Raw genomic sequence first — 19,605 nt, forward strand, 5'->3', positions numbered from 1 at the left:
CACTTGACTTTACCTCCTCAATCTGTGCACTTCTCTCCAACCCCATGGCCAACACATGACACTGGCTCCTCACCACAGTCCCCTTACCAGCCCTCTTCGTGGCCCAGTTCTGCAGTGTGCCTAAGGCAGTCACTTCTGAAAGCTCAACCTCGAGTCTGTTTCTTCAGCTCTCCCAGTGATTCTGCAAGCCATTCAACACCCTGTCACAAGCCCTCTCCTGTTTAGAATAGCAAGAGTGTTTCTCTTCTCAGTTGAATCTTAACTGATGCCACTAGCTCAGAGCTAGGTGCATTGAGTTCTGAATAAATACTTAGGTCCATTGAAAAGCACATGTTTGGTGCCCATTTTCCAGGTGCTCTATTAAGGGCTCAGGGTCATGTACAGGGTCTTTGCCCTCAAAGAGTTTGCTGCCTAGCAGAGATGCCTACCAGGAATTCAGAAAAGGGAAAAAATTTCAACAGGGGCTTGTGGACATCTTGCTTTGTGGTCAGCTTCCATTCACCTATGTCTAGTAAGCATACCTCAATTGGTAAAGCCAGCTCCACCAGGAGCTCCAGAGAGGTGAAGGAGATTTAGGTCTAAGTTAATCCACTAACTCCATCCCCTGGACACATTGATTGGTTTGGGAATGGGAATCTGACCCAAGTTAGACCAGAGAATGACAATACATCTCAATTCCAAGACAAAGTTTGAGGAGCTCTGGAGAAATAAGACTCACTCCTTCCGCTATACCAAAAAATTGTAAGGACGTGAGTGCCAGAACTGCTGTGCCTTTTGCTACTCTGTAGAGCCTGAAACCTCCGCCTTCATAAAAACGGGTAGACGAAGATTTGGAGAGAAAGAAAATACTGATGATGTTGTTTGAGCTCTGAATCCAACTGTAACTAAATAAGATCACCTGGGTTTTTGGTTTCCTTGAGCCCCAAATTCCCATTTTTTTCTTAAGCCTCTTTGGGAGGGAGGTTTCTGTCACTTGCAATCAAAAGTGTCCTCACTGATTTAGAAGGTGTCCTGGAGGAGATGGAAGGAATGAGACTCTGAATGACTGACGATAATTAGGGGGAGAGATGGGAGGACATTCCAGGCAGAGAAACAGTCCATGGAAACCTGTGGAGCTGGGCTCCTGCTGGAATTTGAAGCCCAGGCATCGAATGCTGACTCTACACCCTGGTAGCCTCCTAACTCTTACCCTTCCTCTGAGCCACAGGATACTCTTGAAATGGGCTTTACGCTTTAAGCCTCACAGGGATGTGGGATGAAGATAATACATGCCAGTGTGTGATGGTGCCTGACTCTCAACACATGACTGCTGAGCAAACAAACCAGTCATTTCATAGGAGAAGAGAATGGAATAGGAAAATAACATGTGGTAAGGTGTGGAAAGCTGGGGAGGTTCATCTACCAAGCCCTGCCACGAGCTTTGTCCCTCTCATCCCTGCCCTCATAGCAACCTGTAGGGTATTGTCATTGCTGCCTAGCAGAGATGCCTACCAGGAGAGCAGTGATGCAGGAATTCAGAAAAGGGAAAAAATATCCAGATAAGAGAATTGAGGCTTAGAGAAGTGAAGTAACTTATCTAAAGTCACATAGCTAAGAAGCACAGAAACTAACGATTCAAACTCATATTTTCTCCACCGTAACGACTGTTCCCTGTGGGCTGGAGCTGAGATCTCTGCTGGCCTCCAGTGCAGGCTGAGCAGAATGGCCCCTCTCCTGTAAGTCCAGGCAAGCTGCCTGGCCTGGGGCAAATACGGAAAGGAATGTTTCTAGTCACTACCAGATGATGAATAGGTGGACCTGAAAGGCCAAGCATGGTACAGAGAAGACATTTCCACCAGCCAGCTCTCCAGGACACTGACTCGGGTAGCAGGGGTGAGAGTACAGACACCTCCCTGGGAAGGAAGCAGAGGAAACCCAAATTTGGGGAGTAGAGAGTCTAAGCTACCCAGAGGGGCTGGAGGAGGCCTGGGTCCCTGCAACCAAGACCATTCTGGAAAACAAGCAATCCCTGCCCAAGGGCCCTGCTATGTGGGCGGTAGGGAGAGGCTAGGGGAGGAAGTGTGGATGAGGCCTGGGGAGCTCTTCCCTAGTGCGGAGGTGGTGACTTCACTTTCCCAGGCCTTGATTTGCATCTGTGCCCTGGGCCTCTAGGAGGGGGTTGTTTGTGGAGAGGGTGGGTGTGTCTGTTGTTTGTGTGTTTTTCCTTCTGCCTTTAGCCCTCCCCCTTCCCCTCCTCAGTAACTAGTAGAACCTGCAAGGCTCATGCCCAGCCTGGGTCCCTTCCTCTGACTCAGTGGAAGGGCAGGAGAGTGCCCCGAGGAGCTGCCCACATCCCTGGCTGAGTGCCTCACCCCCAGGGCCTCCACGAGGAGCAGCTTCCACAGGGTGCCTGTGGGGCTCGTTCCTCTGGATGCTTTTCCCTTTGCTGTGAATGCCTCTGGGGCACGAATATATGGCCCTTGGGTCTAGGCCTTAGGGCTTCCGGTGACCAGGATAGGAAGTGTTGCAGGCCCTGCCCCGAGGGCGGCGCATTAGCTTTTCCCCCACTGCTTTCATCTACCCATCTCACCAGATTCCCCCATCAACCAGAGGTGGGTGTATCACCCCCATTTCACAGAGGAATAAAGTGAGGCCAGAAAAGGGAGAATGACTTGCCCAAAGTCATATGGCTAACAAGTGGCCTGGCAACTGGAATCTGCCTTTTTGGTCCCCATTCTGAAGCTCTTTCCATCACAGGCTACTAATGTTCCCACACAGGGTGCAGGGATGCTGCTTTCCTCTCTGATATGGGACCTCACTGGACTCGCTCCCGAGTCTGCCCAAGTCATCTCTGGAAGTCCCTCGGGTGTCTTGTAAGTGCCCGCAGCCAGCCTGCTAATGTGTCTTCCACTTGACCTCTTTGTTGCTGTCGGCTGTGCACTGGGCAACTGCGGCAGGACCTTGCCTTACTCCCTGCCTGGGCTGCTCCATGAGGCCCCTGTTTCTCTATTTAAGGTGTGACCCCTGGTGCTGGCCAGTATGGCAGTCCTCAGTGCCTACCGAGGCAAAACGGTTTTGTGCTCTGAATTGAAAGAGGCAGAAAGCTCCTCTCCCTACTGTGTGTCCCAATTTGTAAGCTGGGCTCCAAAGAAGCCTTTTCAGCTTTTCCCTGCAGCCTCCTCTCTAAAGGGAGTAAGGGGCCAGTGTTTCCTGCTAGCCTGTCCCCATTCACTCACTTGCAATAAAAGCCTCAGCTCAGTTTATATGATTCCGGTGAAACTGCCCCCATCAGCACCATGACCAGGCTCCCTATACACATCCCCTTCCCAGACACTCAGATCTGGGAGTGGAGATTATGATCCTGCAATCAGTACCCTCTACCCCCCTGCCACAGTTATTGGTTAAGGGATGGGTACATGACCGAAGGCAGGCAAATCAGAGCCAATGAAACTCAGTTCCAGAACTTTTGAACTAGTTCTTTGCCCTGGTGAGAGGGTGTGAGGCCTGGAGCTTCTGCAGTCATCTTGCCCCCATGGGGTGGAACCAGCCAGTGATCGAGCTGTCACCTGGAGAAGAGCTGAGCCGAAAGATAACAGAGAACATGAAGTTTTGGTGACATTGTTTAGAGCCCCTGATTAAGTCTTGTCTGAAACCAGCCACACCCCTTGGACTTCCATTCTAAAGTCAGTAAATTCCGTTTTTGCATTAAGCAAAAAAAAAAAAAAAAAGAAAGAAAAGAAAGAAAAAAAAAATTTTTTTTTTCAGTCACATCCACCATTCCAGCAATACAGAGAATGAGACTCAGGCCCCTTGCTCCTTTGTACTCCATGCTTAACCTCTCACCAAACTTCCTCCTTAGAGGCCTATCTACCCTCATGCAAATTAACTCATACAAACAGATACCGAGGAGGCCCACTACTAACCCGTAAGTGCCTTTGCCTTTGTGCTATTTGGAACTGTTTGATCTATACAGAAAAATTTGTCCCAGATACAGTCCATACTTGGCTTGGTGAGGTAGGGGTGGGTGGGAGGAAAGAAAGGTGGGGAGAGAGAACAAGGCACAGCGGCCAACACTCGCTCTGCCCAAGCAGATGCTGAACCCCAAGTTCATCCTGTCACTCTGAAGGGATGGTGTCCACACCAGAATTGGCCTAGGGCTGGATGTGCAGTAGAACTCAAGAAAGGCTGCCTGCCTTGGTCTTTGGAATTCCTCCTACTGCTCCCAGTTAGAAGGATGAGTTAGAAGAAAGAAGAGACCGTCAATCAAGTTGCTGGGTTTCGTAAACTGGCCCCACTTCCCAGGAGGATTTATCCGTGAGCCAGAGGCACCTCATTTCTCACTGCACCCTTTGGCCTGGCTCCAGCCACACCCCCACCCGCAAATAAGTCCTTTTCCTTCCTAGAGCAGGAGCCAGAGAATGAGTCAGTACCTCATTCTCTTCATTCTTTCATCACTGGTCAGGCCTCACCCTTCCCTCGGCCATCCCCTCCTCTGGGCAACCATCTGGATCATGTGTGGGCAAGGCTGTTCCCATACAGCCAGCTTGGAGGGTCCTCTGTGTGAGACAGGAGTGGGCAGGGCTGACCTCTCAGCTCCTGGGGACTGGAGAGAGAGCTGGGGCCTCCAGGGATGGGCCGCAACTACTGGAGTCTCTCCCAGCCCCTAAAGAAGGGTATTTCCTGGGGCCCTGTCTTCCTCCTCGGGCATCAAGTTTATTTCTGTGTCTGTCCTAGCAAAGAGGAATGAAAACTCCTTTAGGGAGTCCCCGCCATGCCCCAGACCCCACCACGAACTCTGAATTCTCGTGGCAATCCTCTATGTGGCGACCATCAGCCACACTGGAATGGAGGGACAAGGCTGTCGGGAGGAGGCATTTCTCACGCCTGTGCCGTGAACGTGCTACCTCTGCATGCTCAAGCCCATGCTGCGCCACTCACAAGGGGCTGTAGCATTCTGGGCCAGCGCCCTTCTCTCTCTGCCTCCTCGCCTACAGCAAGCTTTCTTCAGGCCTGCGGCTGGTGGGCCCCAAGCCAAGAGTGGATTCTTTCATACTCTCTGGTCTAAATCAAGCTGCATCAGGTGGCACTCCCGGTGACCCTCCTGCCTTATTTGGAAGAAGAGGAGGAAGCCAGATAAGAAACCATCCAGGCACCATGGGCCCTTCTTATGGGTCACCCCACAGATGGCATCATTCTCCAGAGAGTGGGGAATATGAGCTCCGAGAGGCCCTGAGCAAGGTGTCAAAGGAAGAGAATAAAATGAAGGAGCTGCCTTATAGGGCCCTAGAGGAGGACAAATATTTGCAAGTGGTAGTCATTTTCTCCCTGCAATTAAAGGAATTCTCCACTTTAAAGCAAATGAAAATTAAAGGGAATGTGGGAGCCAGAGGGAGCCCCTGGGAATGTTACGGGGGGAGGGTAGTCTGTGAGGAGGGGTCTACTGGGCCTGTTCAGTCAGAGCCCCGTCTGGAGCAAAGGTTGACCTCAGGCTCTGTTCTGGGTCTCCACAGTATTAAATCACCAAAGGGAGAGCTTCAGAAGCCCCAGATAGCCCTGGTGTCTCCAAAGAACTAGAGAAAAGCAGCAGCCTTGGACCTTGGAGAATCTTCCAACATCACTTCCCAGCCCTGGTGTCTCCAAAGAACTAGAGAAAAGCAGCAGCCTTGGACCTTGGAGAATCTTCCAACATCACTTCCCAGCCCTGGCCACACATTAGAATCACCCAAAGAGCTTTTAAAAATATTCACTCCAAGGCCGGATGCGGTGGCTCACACCTGTAATCCCAGCACTTTCGGAGGCCAAGGTGGGAGGATCTCCTGAGGTCAGGAATTCGAGAACAGCCTGGCCAACATGGTGAAACCCTGTCTCTACTGAGCTGAGATCACACCACTGCACTCCAGCCTGGGTGACAGAGTGAGACTCTGTCTCAAAAAAAAATACCCCAGACCAAATGGATCATAATCTCTCTCAGAATGGGGGCTGGGCAGCTATTTTGTTTAATCTATTCACACGATACTACTGAGCTGTACTTCTCAAATTTCCCTTATGAGAAAAATCAGCTGGGGGGCACGTTTAAAAACGAAAAAGAAGGCCGGGTGCAGTGGCTCAAGCCTGTAATCCCAGCACTTTAGGAGGCCGAGGCAGGCGGATCACAAGGTCAGGAGTTGGAGACCAGCCAGCCTGGCCAACATGGTGAAACCTTGTCTCTACCAAAAATACAAAAATTAGCCGGGTGTGGTGGCACATGCCTGTAATATCCTAGCTACTGGGGAGGCTGAGGCAGGAGAATCGCTTGAACCCGGGAGGCAGAAGTTGCAGTGAGCCGAGATTGCACAACTACACTCCAGCCTAGGTGACTGAGCAAGACTCCATCTCAAAAAGAAAGAAAGAAAGAGTGAGAGAGAGAGAAAGAGAGAGAGAAAGAAAGAAAGAAAGAGAGAGAGAGAGAGAGAGAGAGAGAGAAAGAAAGAAAGAAAGAAAGAAAGAAAGAAAGAAAGAAAGAAAGAAAGAAGGAAGGAAAGAAAAGAAAGAAAGAAAGAAAAACAAAAACAAAAAGAATTATCAGGCTCCCAATCAAGCAAAGCCAGCAAATCAGAATATCTGGAGGTGACTGGTGAAAATCAGAACCTCTGGGGAATTAGGCCCAGGTCTTTTTTGCATTTCTACCAGGCTTCCCAGGGGACATCTATGCTGACAGAAATTGCAAAATCACATTCTAATCCTCTGGTCTTTGCCCCAGCTCGCTCAGCTGGTTGCCCCTTTGACCCTCGGGCCTCCCTAGAGGCCTTCTCTGTGAACACACCGTAGCATCTGTCTTCTTCCTAGCACTCATCAATATTTGTGATTGTATATTTATTTCTGTGTTTCTTTAATGCCAGTCTCCCACCTAGATGATAAACTCTGTAAGGGCAAGAACCAGGTCTGTTTGGTTCTGTGTAAGGTGGTGGTGAATTACCAGTGTAGGCTCTGAAGCTTGGACTGCCTGGCCTCATATCCCAGCTCCCCTACCCAGCTGTTCTTTGATCTTCAGCAAGTTGCTTCTCCTTCCTGTGCCTCAGTGTTCTCATCTGTAAAATGGATATTTGAATAGTAGTACCTGCCTCACATGGTTGATGGGAGGAATAAATGAAATTATATATGTAAAACATTTAGCATTGTCAATGGCACATTGGAAATTGTCAATAAACATTAATTATATCAATAACAAGCCACCACCACAACTTAATAGCTGAAAACTGCAACCATGTAATTGCTCACAATTCTGTGGGTTGACAGTTTGGTCAAGGCTCAGCAGGGTGGCTTGTTTCTGCTCCAGATGGTTTTGGCTGGGCTCACTCTTACATTTTTGGTCAAGTGGCTTGTTGACTGGGACTGCATAGTCTAACTTGATGGGCTGTTGGTGGAGGCTGTCAGTGAGGGAGGCTCAGTTCTCCTCCATGTGGCCTCTCCAGCAGACTAGCTGGGGCTTCCTCATGTGGTAGCTGGGTTCCAAGAGGGCGAGAGCAAAAGTCAAGAGTCACTTTCGCAGCATTAGTCAAAGCAAGTTACAAGGTCATCCTAGAGTCAAAGGACAGAGAAGTAGTGCTAGTTTTTGTTAGGAGGAGGTGCAAAGACTTCCTGGACATTTTTCATCCTCCATAGTTGCTTGTTCCTGAATCTAGCATGGTATACTCAGGTGCATGGCCCAGTATGCATTTAATAGGTATTTGTTGAAGAAATAACAAATGGATGTGCAGAGGAGAAAGAAACTAGAGGCTCGAGAGGAAAACTGATTTGCTCAAGGTCACAAAGCAAATGAGCGGCAGCACCAGGACGAGAAACTAGGTCCTGGCGCTCAGTCTTGCCTCTTCCCGTTGCATCAATCTGCTCAGACAGCTGCCTGAAGTGGGGTTGAATTCTTCAAATAATTGCCTCACTCCTCAGCTTCTGTTGAGCCTCTGGAGATATATCTAGAAGGTCAGGACTGTGCTTGCTTCCTGAAAAGTCTGGGGATGGAAAGAAGGGAGCACTTTTCATTTCCCAGGGCATAACGCATTGCAGAAAATGATCAGAGAGCATCAGCAGTCCTCCTTGGGTTCCACTGTATGTGGCCAGCGGCCAGGTTGGGAGGTCAGAGACAAAGGCAGACTCCAGTATAGACGCTCTGTGGCCTGCTTCTCATGTACCTGCTCTCACACACGTGTGCACACACACATACATGCATGCACCTTCTCTCGCCTCTCTCTTTAAGGTCTGGAAGAAAGCTACCATAAGTTTGAGCAGTTGGCCACATGGTCTCATTTGGGCTCTCAATTGGACTAGCAATTTCAGGAATTTGAACAGCAATTTTTGAACAGGGAGTTTGGGGAACGGCAGCAGGGGAAAGTTGGGAGGCGCAGAAGGGGTTGTGAAATGCATGCTACAATTCCGTCATCAGCCCCTTCCTGTTGTTCTGGTACCGGGGGGAAACCTGGGCTGGCAAGACTGCGCTTCCTCCATCTAGAAGCTTTCCTCAGGCCTGCTGAGTCACCCACCTGCTGCGGGGAATGCACCTATTTTTAGCCTGAGGTAAATGAGCCCTGTAGTCACCCAGACCACATTCTCTTGGGTGTCTTTGTCACAGATGGTGTGGCCGGATGGGGACCACATTGAAGAGACCTCACCCCCACCCCTAACAAGGTCTCTTCCTCTCCTTCCTCTGAGAAGCCTCACTGCACAGCAGTGACTCACATAACCCCAGGAGAGAATGCGGCAGAGGGTGGCAGTGGGTGGCATACCAAGCTAGTGGGGGTGTGGCGGGGACAGAAGTAGTTTATCACTGACGTTGATTAGAATTGCTGGTGCATCACTGTTAGTCAGTTTATTATTGTTTGTAATTTTTCTGTAGATGATATGACCTCTTATTGTACCCATGTGCACCATTCCTATGGCCCCGTCCTTGGGGACACCACTGCTTGGGAGTTAAGATGGTGGAGATCTGGACCCCAGCAGCCTGACTAAAGGAGGCTTTACTACTTACTAACTGTTTGACTCAAGCAAGACCCTTTACCACTCTGAGACCCAACCTTGGAGCTCCTGGTCTGGTACTCAGGTCACAGAGGCTGGTAATGGATTCACAGGATTGAGAGCAGGAAGGGCACCAAGATGTCATCCCTTGCTCTATTGAGGTGAAAATGGAAGCAAAGAAAGGGGCAGATGCTTGCCTGTATCAGATGTCCAGAGACCCCTCTAAGACCTTGTTCAGGCAGAGCCACCTGTTAGGTAAAAGGTTGGTAAAAAGCAGGTGCTGATGACAAGGCCACTGTTGGTCAGAACTATTTCTACTTCAGTCTGTATCCAGCCCCTGCACCCAGTATAATGTAGTAGAGTATTTCTCGGAGAAGGGTGTGTGGACCACCTGCATCAGAATTACCTGAATCCCCTGGGGTGCTCATTAAAACTGTGAGTTTCTGATCCCCATCCCAGACTTGGGGGTTTGCTCCCAGCACTGTCACTCACTAGCTAGGGAATTTGGGGGGTGTCAAACTATCTGTGTACCACTTTCCTCACCTATAAAATGAGGCTAAACCTCCTTATGTACATGTGAGGGACAAATGTATTTGCATGGGTGAGAGGTGCAGCCCGTCGCCTGGCACATTGGAGCTAGGCAACTTGTGATTTGAGTTCTTAGTATTTGTTTCTTATCCCCAGGCAGCTCCTGAAAGGCTTCACTCTTCTGCCCTGGTGCAGAAACGGGCCCTACCTCTTTCAGATTGGCCTGGAGCTGTCAGCTACCAGTGACTTCCAGAACCAACTTGCAAATGTCTGCCAATCAGTGGCACTGCTCAGACCAGAGCTCAGATAAGATGTTCTGCAGTCTGCTGAGAAAATCTTCCAACACAGTTGTGGGACACAGAAGTCACTCACCAGAAACACTGGTCATATCACTTCTCCTTATCTCTCTTCCTGGTGACGAAGCCCAATGCCTGTGAGATCTTTTTAAACAGAACCCTTTTTCCAAATAAGATTTGACCCGACACAGGGCCCCAGTGTATGTGAACAATAAAAGCTTCACTCCACTAGTTTAAATATATTTTCTAAGAAGTTCAAGTTTCCAACATGTTACTGTGTTACTTATGAAATCAGTGTGAACACAACTGAGGTGAGCTCCAGTGTGTGAAAATCACGTATCACTTCTAAATGTGCATGGTGCTGCTTATTACAAATATTCAAGTAGTTTAAAATACATTTTGGGCCAGGCACAGTGGCTCACACCTGTAATCCCAGCACTTTGGGAGGCCAAAGAGGGAGGATGGCTTGAGCCCAGGACCAGCCTGGGCAACATAGGGAGACCCCCATCTCTACAAAAAAATTAAAAATTAGCTGGGTGTGGTGGCATACACTTATTGTCTCACCTACTCAGAAGGCTGAGGTGGGAGGATCACTTGAGCCTAGGAGCTTGAGGCTGTAGTGAACCATGATCCATGCCACTGCACTCCAGCCTAGGCAATAGAGTGAGACCCTGTCTTAAAATAAATAAGTAAAAATAAATAAAATACATTTTGGGAATTATATTTGAATTGAGTATTCACAAAAGCCATGAAGCTCCCTTGGAAAAAGCCAAGATTTTGGTTAGCATGGTTTGCAATCCCTGGAGGATTCCAAACACCTTTTACTGGGTAAGGACATAGAGGCCTGGGTGGGAGAAGGGCTACATCAATCCAATAAGTGGCCAGCTTTGAGAATCAAGGCCTACTGGATCTCAAGCCAGGGTTCCTCCCATCTGCCCACATTCCTAGCCTGGCCCACCAAGTGGGACACTTACAGGGGTGGGGAGCCCCCTTAGGTGCTCTGGCCATTGGCTGAATTGGTCTTGAGTGACAAAGACTATGGCTCTCAGTGTCTGTGGCTGAGCAGGGGCGTGGCAGGGACAAAGCCAGGCCCCCAGGCCTGGGTGAGTAAGGTAGCGAGTGTGTGAGCCCCAGTTGTGAGCAAGAGGGCTTCAGCTGGTCTTGACTTGGGCTGCAGAGCTCTTGGTCCAGGCAAATTCTCACTCCACAAACAATATCTGAGCTTTTCAGTGCTTTGAGATCTGCAGATAAGAGGCTATAAAGATGTATAAATTATTATTATGCTGAGGACAATTTCCTCCCTGGCTGGCAGCCTGCAAGGCTATGCCCAGTCCAATCTCTGCCCCCTAAGGGAGGACCTGAATGCAGGGGGAGATAAATGATGCCCAGAGCCCTCTGGCCAAGGCCAAGCCCACAGTATCCCCACCGGTGGAGAAGCCAGGCCAGGCCAGGCTGTCTTTCCCACCACATCCCACCCATCATGCCCAGCACGTGCCAGCAAGGCTTTTTCCTCTGGAGGAGGAGCTGCTAAGGTGCTGAGTCACCACCTTGATGTCAGCTGGTGCTCTCCACCCTGAGAAGAGTGCCCAGCAAGGGCGCAGCACATCAGCCTGTGCCAACAAACCTGCGGTGACCAGCCTGCTTTGGGGAGGAGTTATTTCCCCTAGGAGAGGGCACACGGTGAGCTGGGGGAATCTGTCCCTAACTCAGCCTGGGGTTCCTGCTGGGGACCATCTCACGGGGCCTCAGTGCACAAGGGTCCTTGTTGGAATAGGGCCCAGACTCCAGCTGCAGGGATGGATTGGGGGGATTTTGTTTGGTATCCCCCTGCCCCGGGAAGGAACCATTAGAAGGGAAAGGGGAGAGAGGAGGCCTCAGAAGTGGTACAAAGTGCCTGGGGGTCCTCCCACTTCATGGCTGTGGGCTTCTGGGTAGGTTACGCACCTACCAATCGTAAGTTGCTTTTTGTTGTTTTTCTTTTTTTGTATTTTTTTGTTTGTTTGTTTTTTGGAGACAAGATCGTGCTCCGTCACTCAGGCTGGAGTGCAATGGCATGATCACAGCTCACTGCAGTCTTGACCTCCCAGGTTCAAGCGATCCATTCACCTTAGCCCCCTGAGTAGCTGAGTCTACAGTCACCTGCCACCACACCCAGCTAATTTTTTTTTTTTTTTTGAGATGGCATTTCCCTCTTGTCATCCAGGCTGGGGTGCAATGGTGTGATCTTGGCTCACTGCAACCTCTGCCTCCCGAGTTCAAGCGATTCTCCTGCCTCGAACTCCTGAGCAACACGCCCAGCTAATATTTAAAAATTTGTAGAGATAAGGGTCTCAGCTTGTTGCCCAGGATGGTCTTGAACTCCTAGGCTCAAGCCATCCTCCTGCCTCGGCCTCCTAAAGTGCTGGGACACAGGCATGAGTCACCACGCCCAGCCCCTTTGGTTGTATTCTTCTTTTAAAGGTAAATGCAAACAGTTTTTTAAACTGAACAGAAACAATGCTCATACCTCCTCTGATGTTTTTTATCCAGCTCCCCTGTCCCCCATCCCTTTCCCAAAGCAATTGCTCTTACCAGTTTGAGGATATCCTTCCAAAAAGTTCTTCTAGGTATCTATACATACATATATGTGTGTGTATGTGGCTATCCTTTTATTTTTTAAATAAATAGGAACATTCTATGTACATTTTACTGGATTTTTTTTTTTTAATTTAATACCATCTTTTGGAAGTTGGTTCATATTGGCAGCTGGGATCTATGACTTTCTTTTTTTTCAACTTTTATTTTAAGTTCAGGGGTACATGTGCAGGATGTGTAGGTTTTCTTTTCTTTTCTTTTTTTTTTTTTTTTGAGATGGAGTTTCGCTCTTTCGCCCAGGCTGGAGTGCAGTGGCGCGATCTCGGCTCACTGCAACCTCTGCCTCCTGGGTTCAAGTGATTCTCCTGCCTCAGCTTCCTGAGTAGCTGGGATTACAGACGCCCACCACCACGTCCGGCTAATTTTTGTATTTTTAGTAGAGATGGGGTTTCACCATATTGGCCAGGCTGGTCTCAAACTTCTGACCTTGTGATCCATCTGCGTTGGCCTCCCAAAGTGCTAGGATTACAGGCGTGAGCCACTGCGCCCGGCTGGGCAGGTTTATTACATAGGTAAATGTGTGCCATGGTGGTTTACTACACACTATGTCTTTCTTTCTAAGGGGTATAGGCAAGCCCCCAGACCTCCCATGTGCTATTTAACAAGGCCTCTCTGGATAGACATTTAAAGGGTCTCCAGTCTCTTACTTCTTTGATGAATATTCTTTTGAATATGTCTATTTTAACTACTTCTCCTGCATTTGTGGGGTGCCCCGGTACACCCAGGGCACTGGAGGAGGCTGCAGGGACCAAGCGGATCATCGTGTGTGAACAAATGCCCAGCTCTCAAGTAGCCAAGGCAGCCCCAGTGGGACCTGAAGGAGGTGTCACGTGAACCAGGCTACAGACGGGGTTCAAAGAGGAAGTGGGCAGGGCAGATGAATAAGATTAATTTCTGAAATTATCTTAACAAGTTCTTTTCTGATTATAAAGTAAAACATCCTCATTATAGGAAATTTGGAAAATACTGAACAGATGTGAAAATAAGTCACCTGGATCCCCCTCATCTGGAGGTAACCACTGTTGATGTTTAAAACATTTCCTGTCCGCCTATTTTCTAGATACGAAGGATTTCTAGTGGTCAAAGGGAAATGAAGGAAGGGAATCCAGGGAGGGTCCTCTCTCAGCAGAGAAGGAACTGCAGGGAGCACCAGACTGTTTCAGAACACACAGAGAGGAGGTCAGACGCAAGAGGAGACAGGAGGAGATCATGGCAGACTGGGCAAGGGGCAGGGATGGGGGCTGACAATGCAGGTGAGCCTGAGGGTGGCAGGGAAGGATTTGCCCCTAGATCAAGAGAGCAAAAGACCTGAGGAGTCTGGCTTGGAGATTTTAAAGGGATATCTAAGAACAAATTTCACCAGGACTTTGGAAGAGCAAACCTGGCATTCCAAAGGGAGGTTCCTTTTAAAAATACTAACTTGAGAGTTGTAAAAAGAGATGCGAGGCCTGAGTGTGGCTGAGACTGCTAAGAAAAAGTTGTGGCTTCGCAGCCAAGAGTACAGGCTTGAAAACAGCAAGATTTTATTCGAGTCCCAAAGATGCCACTTACCAACTGTGTAGGATTGAGTGATTGACTTATCTTCACTGCTTCTCAGCTTCTCTACTTGTAAAGCATGGGTGACACTAATACACCTGTGTCAGAGGGTCAGCGTAAGGATTACACAAGGTAATGCAGCCAACAGCCTGGAATGGCACCAGGCACCCAGAGGCACTCAGTAATGTTGAGAGAATACAGAATGAGAGCAAAGAAGGGGCTGAGGCCAGAGCTGTGGTGGAAGGTGCTAGAAGGAAGAGGTGCCATTAAAGGTCCCAGAAGAGAGCAGCCTTCTGGACAGGAAGAGTGGCCCCTGTGCAGAGCAGTGCCTCTGGGGTTCAGAGAACATGTGGCGACAGTGCCAAACACTACCTGGGCCAAGGAAGGGCTCCAGGCCTAGAAGGTCTCTGGTGAGTGGCAACTTCAGAGCTGTTGCCATGGTGATGTGGACAGAAGCCAAAAGCTAGAGGTCCAGGGATAATGGGAGATGAGGAAGTCCAGTGGGTGAATTTTGTAAGATCTTCAAGAAGTTTGGCAGTGAAAGGAAAGGGGGAAGTCCTAGCTCAAGGGAAAGGTTGTAGGGAAGAGAGAAAGAGGTGTTTTGTTTTGTTTTGTTTAGAGTGAAGGATATTTCAACATGTTTATAGACTGAAAAGAAAAAAAATCAATATAAGTTCTCAAAGAGAGGAAGTGACTAAGGATGTACTCCACCTCTCTTACACTTCAGTTTCTCATTTGAAAAATCAGAGTGAGAATAAAGGATCTCTGAGGCCCTGCTAGCTTTTTTAGCTCTTTCATCCATCCATCCATCCATCCATCCATCCATCCATCCATCCAACCATCCATCCATCTATCCATCCATCCATCCATCTATCCATCCACCCATCCATCCATCCATCCATCCACCCACCCATCCATCCATCCATCCATCCACCCATCCATCCATCCAGTATTTTAATACACACATTCTGTAGACCTCTGGCCTGGCCTAAGTGCTAAGACGGAGGCCATGGGCTGCAAGGAAGTAGGAAAGAAAAGTAGAAGCAAAGACTCCCTTCTCCAGGGGCCTGTGTTTAACAGGAACAGTAGAGAAGACAATCAGGCAATGACTTAACAACATCACAAAAGGACCTTGAAAGCCATGCCCTTGTAACCATTTGACATCACATTCTAGCACTTACCCAAACCCCTGCCTGCCTCATCCCTGGCTTGCTAACCCCCAGCCTTTGAGAACCTGCCCTTGTTGTGTTAATCCCCTGAGTTCCCCCATGCCCAGCATTGTGCTGGCCCATGTAAGCAATCAGATAATTAGTACTTACTATGTCCATACATCCAAGTATTTATTGAGCATCCACAATGTACCAGGCACTGGGAGAGGATACTGAGCAAAACAGAGCTCTGCCCCCTTAAATTGTTTAGTCTTGAACTGGATGGTTTTGGGAAGCAAGACACAAGAGTCAGATGTGAATTTAAAATTGCAGCTGTGACAAGAGGAAGCAAGGCTTTCCACAAGCAGGGGGATCTGAGAAGGCCTCTCAGAGGAAGTCATTTGGGATCTGAAAGGGGAGCAGAAGGTCACCAGGTGAACAGCACTCCAGGTGGGACAGGGGCTCCACCTGTGCAAAAGCAAAAGGGAAAAGAGAGGAAGAAAGAGAAGAAAAGAGGTGGAGAAAGAGGGAGGACAGGAGCCTGAAAGCAGGCAGTGTGGCTGGGAGGGGGAGGCTCTAGACTGAAGCAGAGGCTGGTAGGGCCTGATAGCCAAGATCAGGAGTGTACTTTATCCGAGAGTGGTAGGAAGCCGTGGGAGTAATTTAAACATGGAAGGGACATGATCAGTTTTTGTTTCAAAGACATCTCCTTGAAGAAATGAGGTGCAGGTCAGTCTGTGTAGTTTGAGCTTATCATACAATACGGTATGTCTGGGACTGGGATGGGGGCTGGTTTTCTTCCTCTACTTTAGATTTAGATATTTCTGCAATCTTTTCTTTTCTTTTCTTTTAAGAAGTGAGTGCCAGGTGCGGTTGCTCACACCTGTAATCCCAACACTTTGGGAGGCTGAGGCAGGTGGATCCTTTGAGCCCAGTAGTTCTGACCAGTCTGGGTAACATAGCAAAACCCCATCTCTACTAAAATTTTAAAAAACTAGCTTGGTGTGGTGGCACCTACCTATAGTCCCAGCTACTTGGGAGACTGAGGTGGGAGGATCACTTGAGCTGGAAGGCAGAGGTTGCAGTGAGCCAAGATTGCCTCACTGAACTCCAGCCTGGGCGACAGAGTGACGCCTTGTTTCGAAAACAAAAAAAAAAATAATAATAGGGTCTCTCACTATGTTGCCAACGCTGGGTTCTAACTCCTGGGCTCAAACAATCCCCCCACCTCAGCCTCCCAAGTAGCTGGGACTATAGTAGTGAACCACTGAGCCCAGCTTGTAATATTTTTTTTAACAGTAAACCTGTGTTGCTTTTATTAGAAAAAAATGATACTAAGAATTGGAAAATGACAGAACAGCTTGGGGAAGGGCAGGAGAGGAGACTAGAGAGCTCTGGCCAGCCCAGGGTGGTGCAAAACACCAAAACAGGCAGAGTGGGTGGAGCTGGGCATTGGAGCTTGAGGGTAAGCTGGGTTTGTCTGAGGGGCTCTGTCTTCCAGGAGCTCACCTTTTCAAAAGGTGTGAGGGAAGGAAGGAGGCTATAGGCCCAATAAGCAGTTGGCATTTCCTGACAATTGTTTCAAACACAAAGCCAGCAGGAGCTGCTCCCAGCGAGCCCCGCTTCTCCCCATAATCTAGCCTTGGGTAACAGGCTTCTCCCAGGAGATCACTGTTCTCAGTCCCTGGCAAGAGCTGGCCCCATGGGGAGTGCTTTGTTGATAGTGCCCAGTGCCCAGCAACCAGGCTGGGTTTGGGAAGGAGGCTGGAGTCTTCAGGAGGAAGGTCCTGCCCAAGATGGTGCAGAGGGTGAGTGAATGGGGGAGCCCAGGTGGGCCTTCCTTTAGCCCCAGCCCTTTAGGCTGCTCCAGAGGAGCCTTCGCCCCTTTCCCCAGAGCACAGGCTGATCTGTCAGCCAAGGAGTGGAAAGGAGAACATGGAGGTTCTTCCTGCCACTTGGATCCTACCCTGCTATGTGATCTTTGAGAAGTCACCAGGGTTGCCCACCCAAGGGTGCAGAGGCCAGAGATCCACGTGCTCCAACCCTGTTGGAGGTGGGAGTCTGTCAGGCTTTCTGCAAGTCTCACAGCTGTGTGTGGAGGGGAGACAAAGCATCCAGCAGCCTGGCTGGGGTTCTTCAGGTTTGGGCCCTCCTGGAAGAGGAGCCGGGCTCCTCATGGGAATTGCGCTCCTGGGGAGGGAGGAGGGCAGGAACACCTGGAAGGGCTGTTGGTTACCTCAGACCCCCAAACCTGGGAGCTACATCCCAGATCTCATATTTTGGAAATCAGGGGAAGATGGATGGGGAGTTTTAGAAGTCTGACAGTTCTAGTTTCACACCCAGATCTGCCTCAGTTTCCTCTTCTGGAAAATGGACATGATGCTGCCTCCATCTCCTAGCATGGCTATTGGGATTGAATGGGAAATCTTGGCAGAGAGCCAGGTGCATAGTTCTGCTCCCTCACCTCTGTAACCTATTTCCACCTCCCCACTCCCGCCCCGACTGCCCGTGTCCAGAAACCCAAATTCTGACCCAGCGGCCAGGGGCAGGCCCTGGGTGGGCCACTTCCCTCTCTGGGTTTCAGTTTCCTCTTTGTATGAAACTGGGAGCTCTGTGGAAAGGCCAAAGGCAGGAATAGTAATCATTTCTGATCTGCAAGCAGTTTTACCCTCACACGAGGTAAAGGCACAGCACAGGCTCGGTCATGGGCTGAAATGAAGATGTGCACCATAAAATCCCGGTGGCTGAATTAGTTGTGTCTTCCATGACAGCCAGTAGCAAAGGAAGGTTTCGGGCTTTCAGCCACACATGAAACGTCCTGGTTGCCTCGGCCTAGCCGAGATTAGACATTTCCTGGGAGGAGTGGTGGGTTAGTGGAGGGAGGTGGGGGTAGTTAGGGGAGGTGGGGGTAGTTAGGGAAGCTGGAGAGGGTCATCTGGGAGGAGGGGGCTAGGCCCCAGAGAGATGGCTGAGGAGTAACCCCTGAGCTGTTTTCCTCATCTTCACTCTGTAGAAACCTACTTTCAACAGAATATTAGCACAAATGCAAAAGGATATATGCAAGAGCAAGACTAGCACAGGATTGCCTGTCTTGGTAAAATGGAAGGCAACCCACAAAAACATACACAGCACACTGCCAAAGATATCTAGAGCAAACTGGAATGTGGCCCATGGTACATTATTGTATGAAAAAACAAGTCACAGAATTGAAAGTACAGTGTGATCTTATTTTATTACTATATATGCATTATATTCATATACTGTAACTGAATGTAATACTTGAACTAATTCTACACACACACACACACACACACACACACACACATTTATTTTATTTTTATTTTTTTGAGACAGGTTCTCACTCTGTCTCCCAGGCTGGAGTGCAGTGGCGCGATCTCGGCTCACTGCAACCTCCACCTCCCAGGCTCAAGCCATCCTCCCACCTCAGCCTTCTGAGAAGCTGGGACTACAGGTGTGTGCCACCATGCCCAGTTGATTTTTATAGGTTTAGTAGAGACAAGGTTTCACCATGTTTCCCAAGCTGGTCTAGAACTCTTGGGCTCAAGTGATCCACCTGCCTCGGCCTCCCAAAGTGCTGTGATGACAGGTGTGAGCCATGGCGCACGGTCCCCCATGCACATTTAAAGCATGGAAAATAAAATCCTGGAAGGACACATGGCAAACTGTTAACAGCATTTACCTCTAAGGTAGAAAAAAGATCTTAAATTTTTTCTTTTATACTTCTGCACTGTTTGAATCTCTTAAAATTAGCACATACTATATATGATGAACACCCCCTCCCAAATAAATATGAAAGGGGCTGGAAGGGGTCAGGTGGTCAACTCTCTCCAAGGTGCAACCAGAGGTAGCTGAGACTAACATGACATAGGTCCCTGTTGGAGGACGATGTCCCCAGTAAACCCAAATTAATTGAGTGACACCATAAAAAAACAGAATAGGGAGGAGTGGGGAAGACCAGTCCCTTTCCTTGTGTCCAGGGATCCCACCCATCTACACCTCCATCCTCCAGTGCCTGGCTAAGGCCCTCCTTAGTGCCCGGGCACAGACTGTGCTCTTCGGAGATGGCTCAAGTGGGCTGTGTGCTTAGGGAGATGGGGCACATGACTGTTAACTACTTTAAAAGTCCTCAATGGGTTTTTTGTTGTTTCTGTTTTTGAGATGGAGTTTTGCTCTTGTTGCCCAGGCTGGAGTGCAATGGCGTGACCTCAGCAACCTGCAACGTCCGCCTCCCAGATTCAAGGGATTCTCCTACCTCAGCCTCCCAAGTAGCTGGGATTACAGGTGTCTGCCACCACACCCAGCTAATTTTTTGTATTTTTAGTAGAGATGGGGTTTCACCATGTTGGTCAGGCTGGTCTCGAACTTCTGACCTCAGGTGATCCACCCTCCTCGGCCTCCCAAAGTGTTGAAATTACAGGCGTGAGCCACCGTGCCCGACCCTGAATGTTTCTGAAGCATGCTGTTTCTTCATTCTGGAA

General features: G+C 49.1%; 4 annotated features.

Moving 5' to 3' along the window:
- Positions 3,757 to 4,956: an enhancer, noted in NCBI's record as "MED14-independent group 3 enhancer chr10:112169725-112170924 (GRCh37/hg19 assembly coordinates)". NCBI's record gives its function as "activates an origin of replication core promoter dependent on BRD2, BRD4, P300/CBP and CDK7 cofactors, and independent of MED14, by STARR-seq in HCT116 cells {active_cell/tissue: HCT116}" and the evidence as "EXISTENCE:reporter gene assay evidence [ECO:0000049][PMID:35650434]".
- Positions 8,034 to 9,233: an enhancer, noted in NCBI's record as "P300/CBP strongly-dependent group 1 enhancer chr10:112174002-112175201 (GRCh37/hg19 assembly coordinates)". NCBI's record gives its function as "activates an origin of replication core promoter dependent on BRD2, BRD4, P300/CBP, MED14 and CDK7 cofactors, with strong dependence on P300/CBP, by STARR-seq in HCT116 cells {active_cell/tissue: HCT116}" and the evidence as "EXISTENCE:reporter gene assay evidence [ECO:0000049][PMID:35650434]".
- Positions 8,408 to 8,537: an enhancer, noted in NCBI's record as "active region_4019". NCBI's record gives its function as "activates an Ori minimal core promoter by ATAC-STARR-seq in GM12878 lymphoblastoid cells {active_cell/tissue: GM12878}" and the evidence as "EXISTENCE:reporter gene assay evidence [ECO:0000049][PMID:35858748]".
- Positions 11,347 to 11,847: an enhancer, noted in NCBI's record as "H3K4me1 hESC enhancer chr10:112177315-112177815 (GRCh37/hg19 assembly coordinates)". NCBI's record gives its function as "activates a minimal SCP1, AML or CMV promoter by ChIP-STARR-seq in primed H9 embryonic stem cells {active_cell/tissue: H9 hESC(primed)}" and the evidence as "EXISTENCE:reporter gene assay evidence [ECO:0000049][PMID:30033119]".

This window comes from Homo sapiens, chromosome 10 (genome assembly GCF_000001405.40).
Source record: "Homo sapiens chromosome 10, GRCh38.p14 Primary Assembly".
In the NCBI taxonomy this organism is placed as follows: Eukaryota; Metazoa; Chordata; class Mammalia; order Primates; family Hominidae; genus Homo; species Homo sapiens.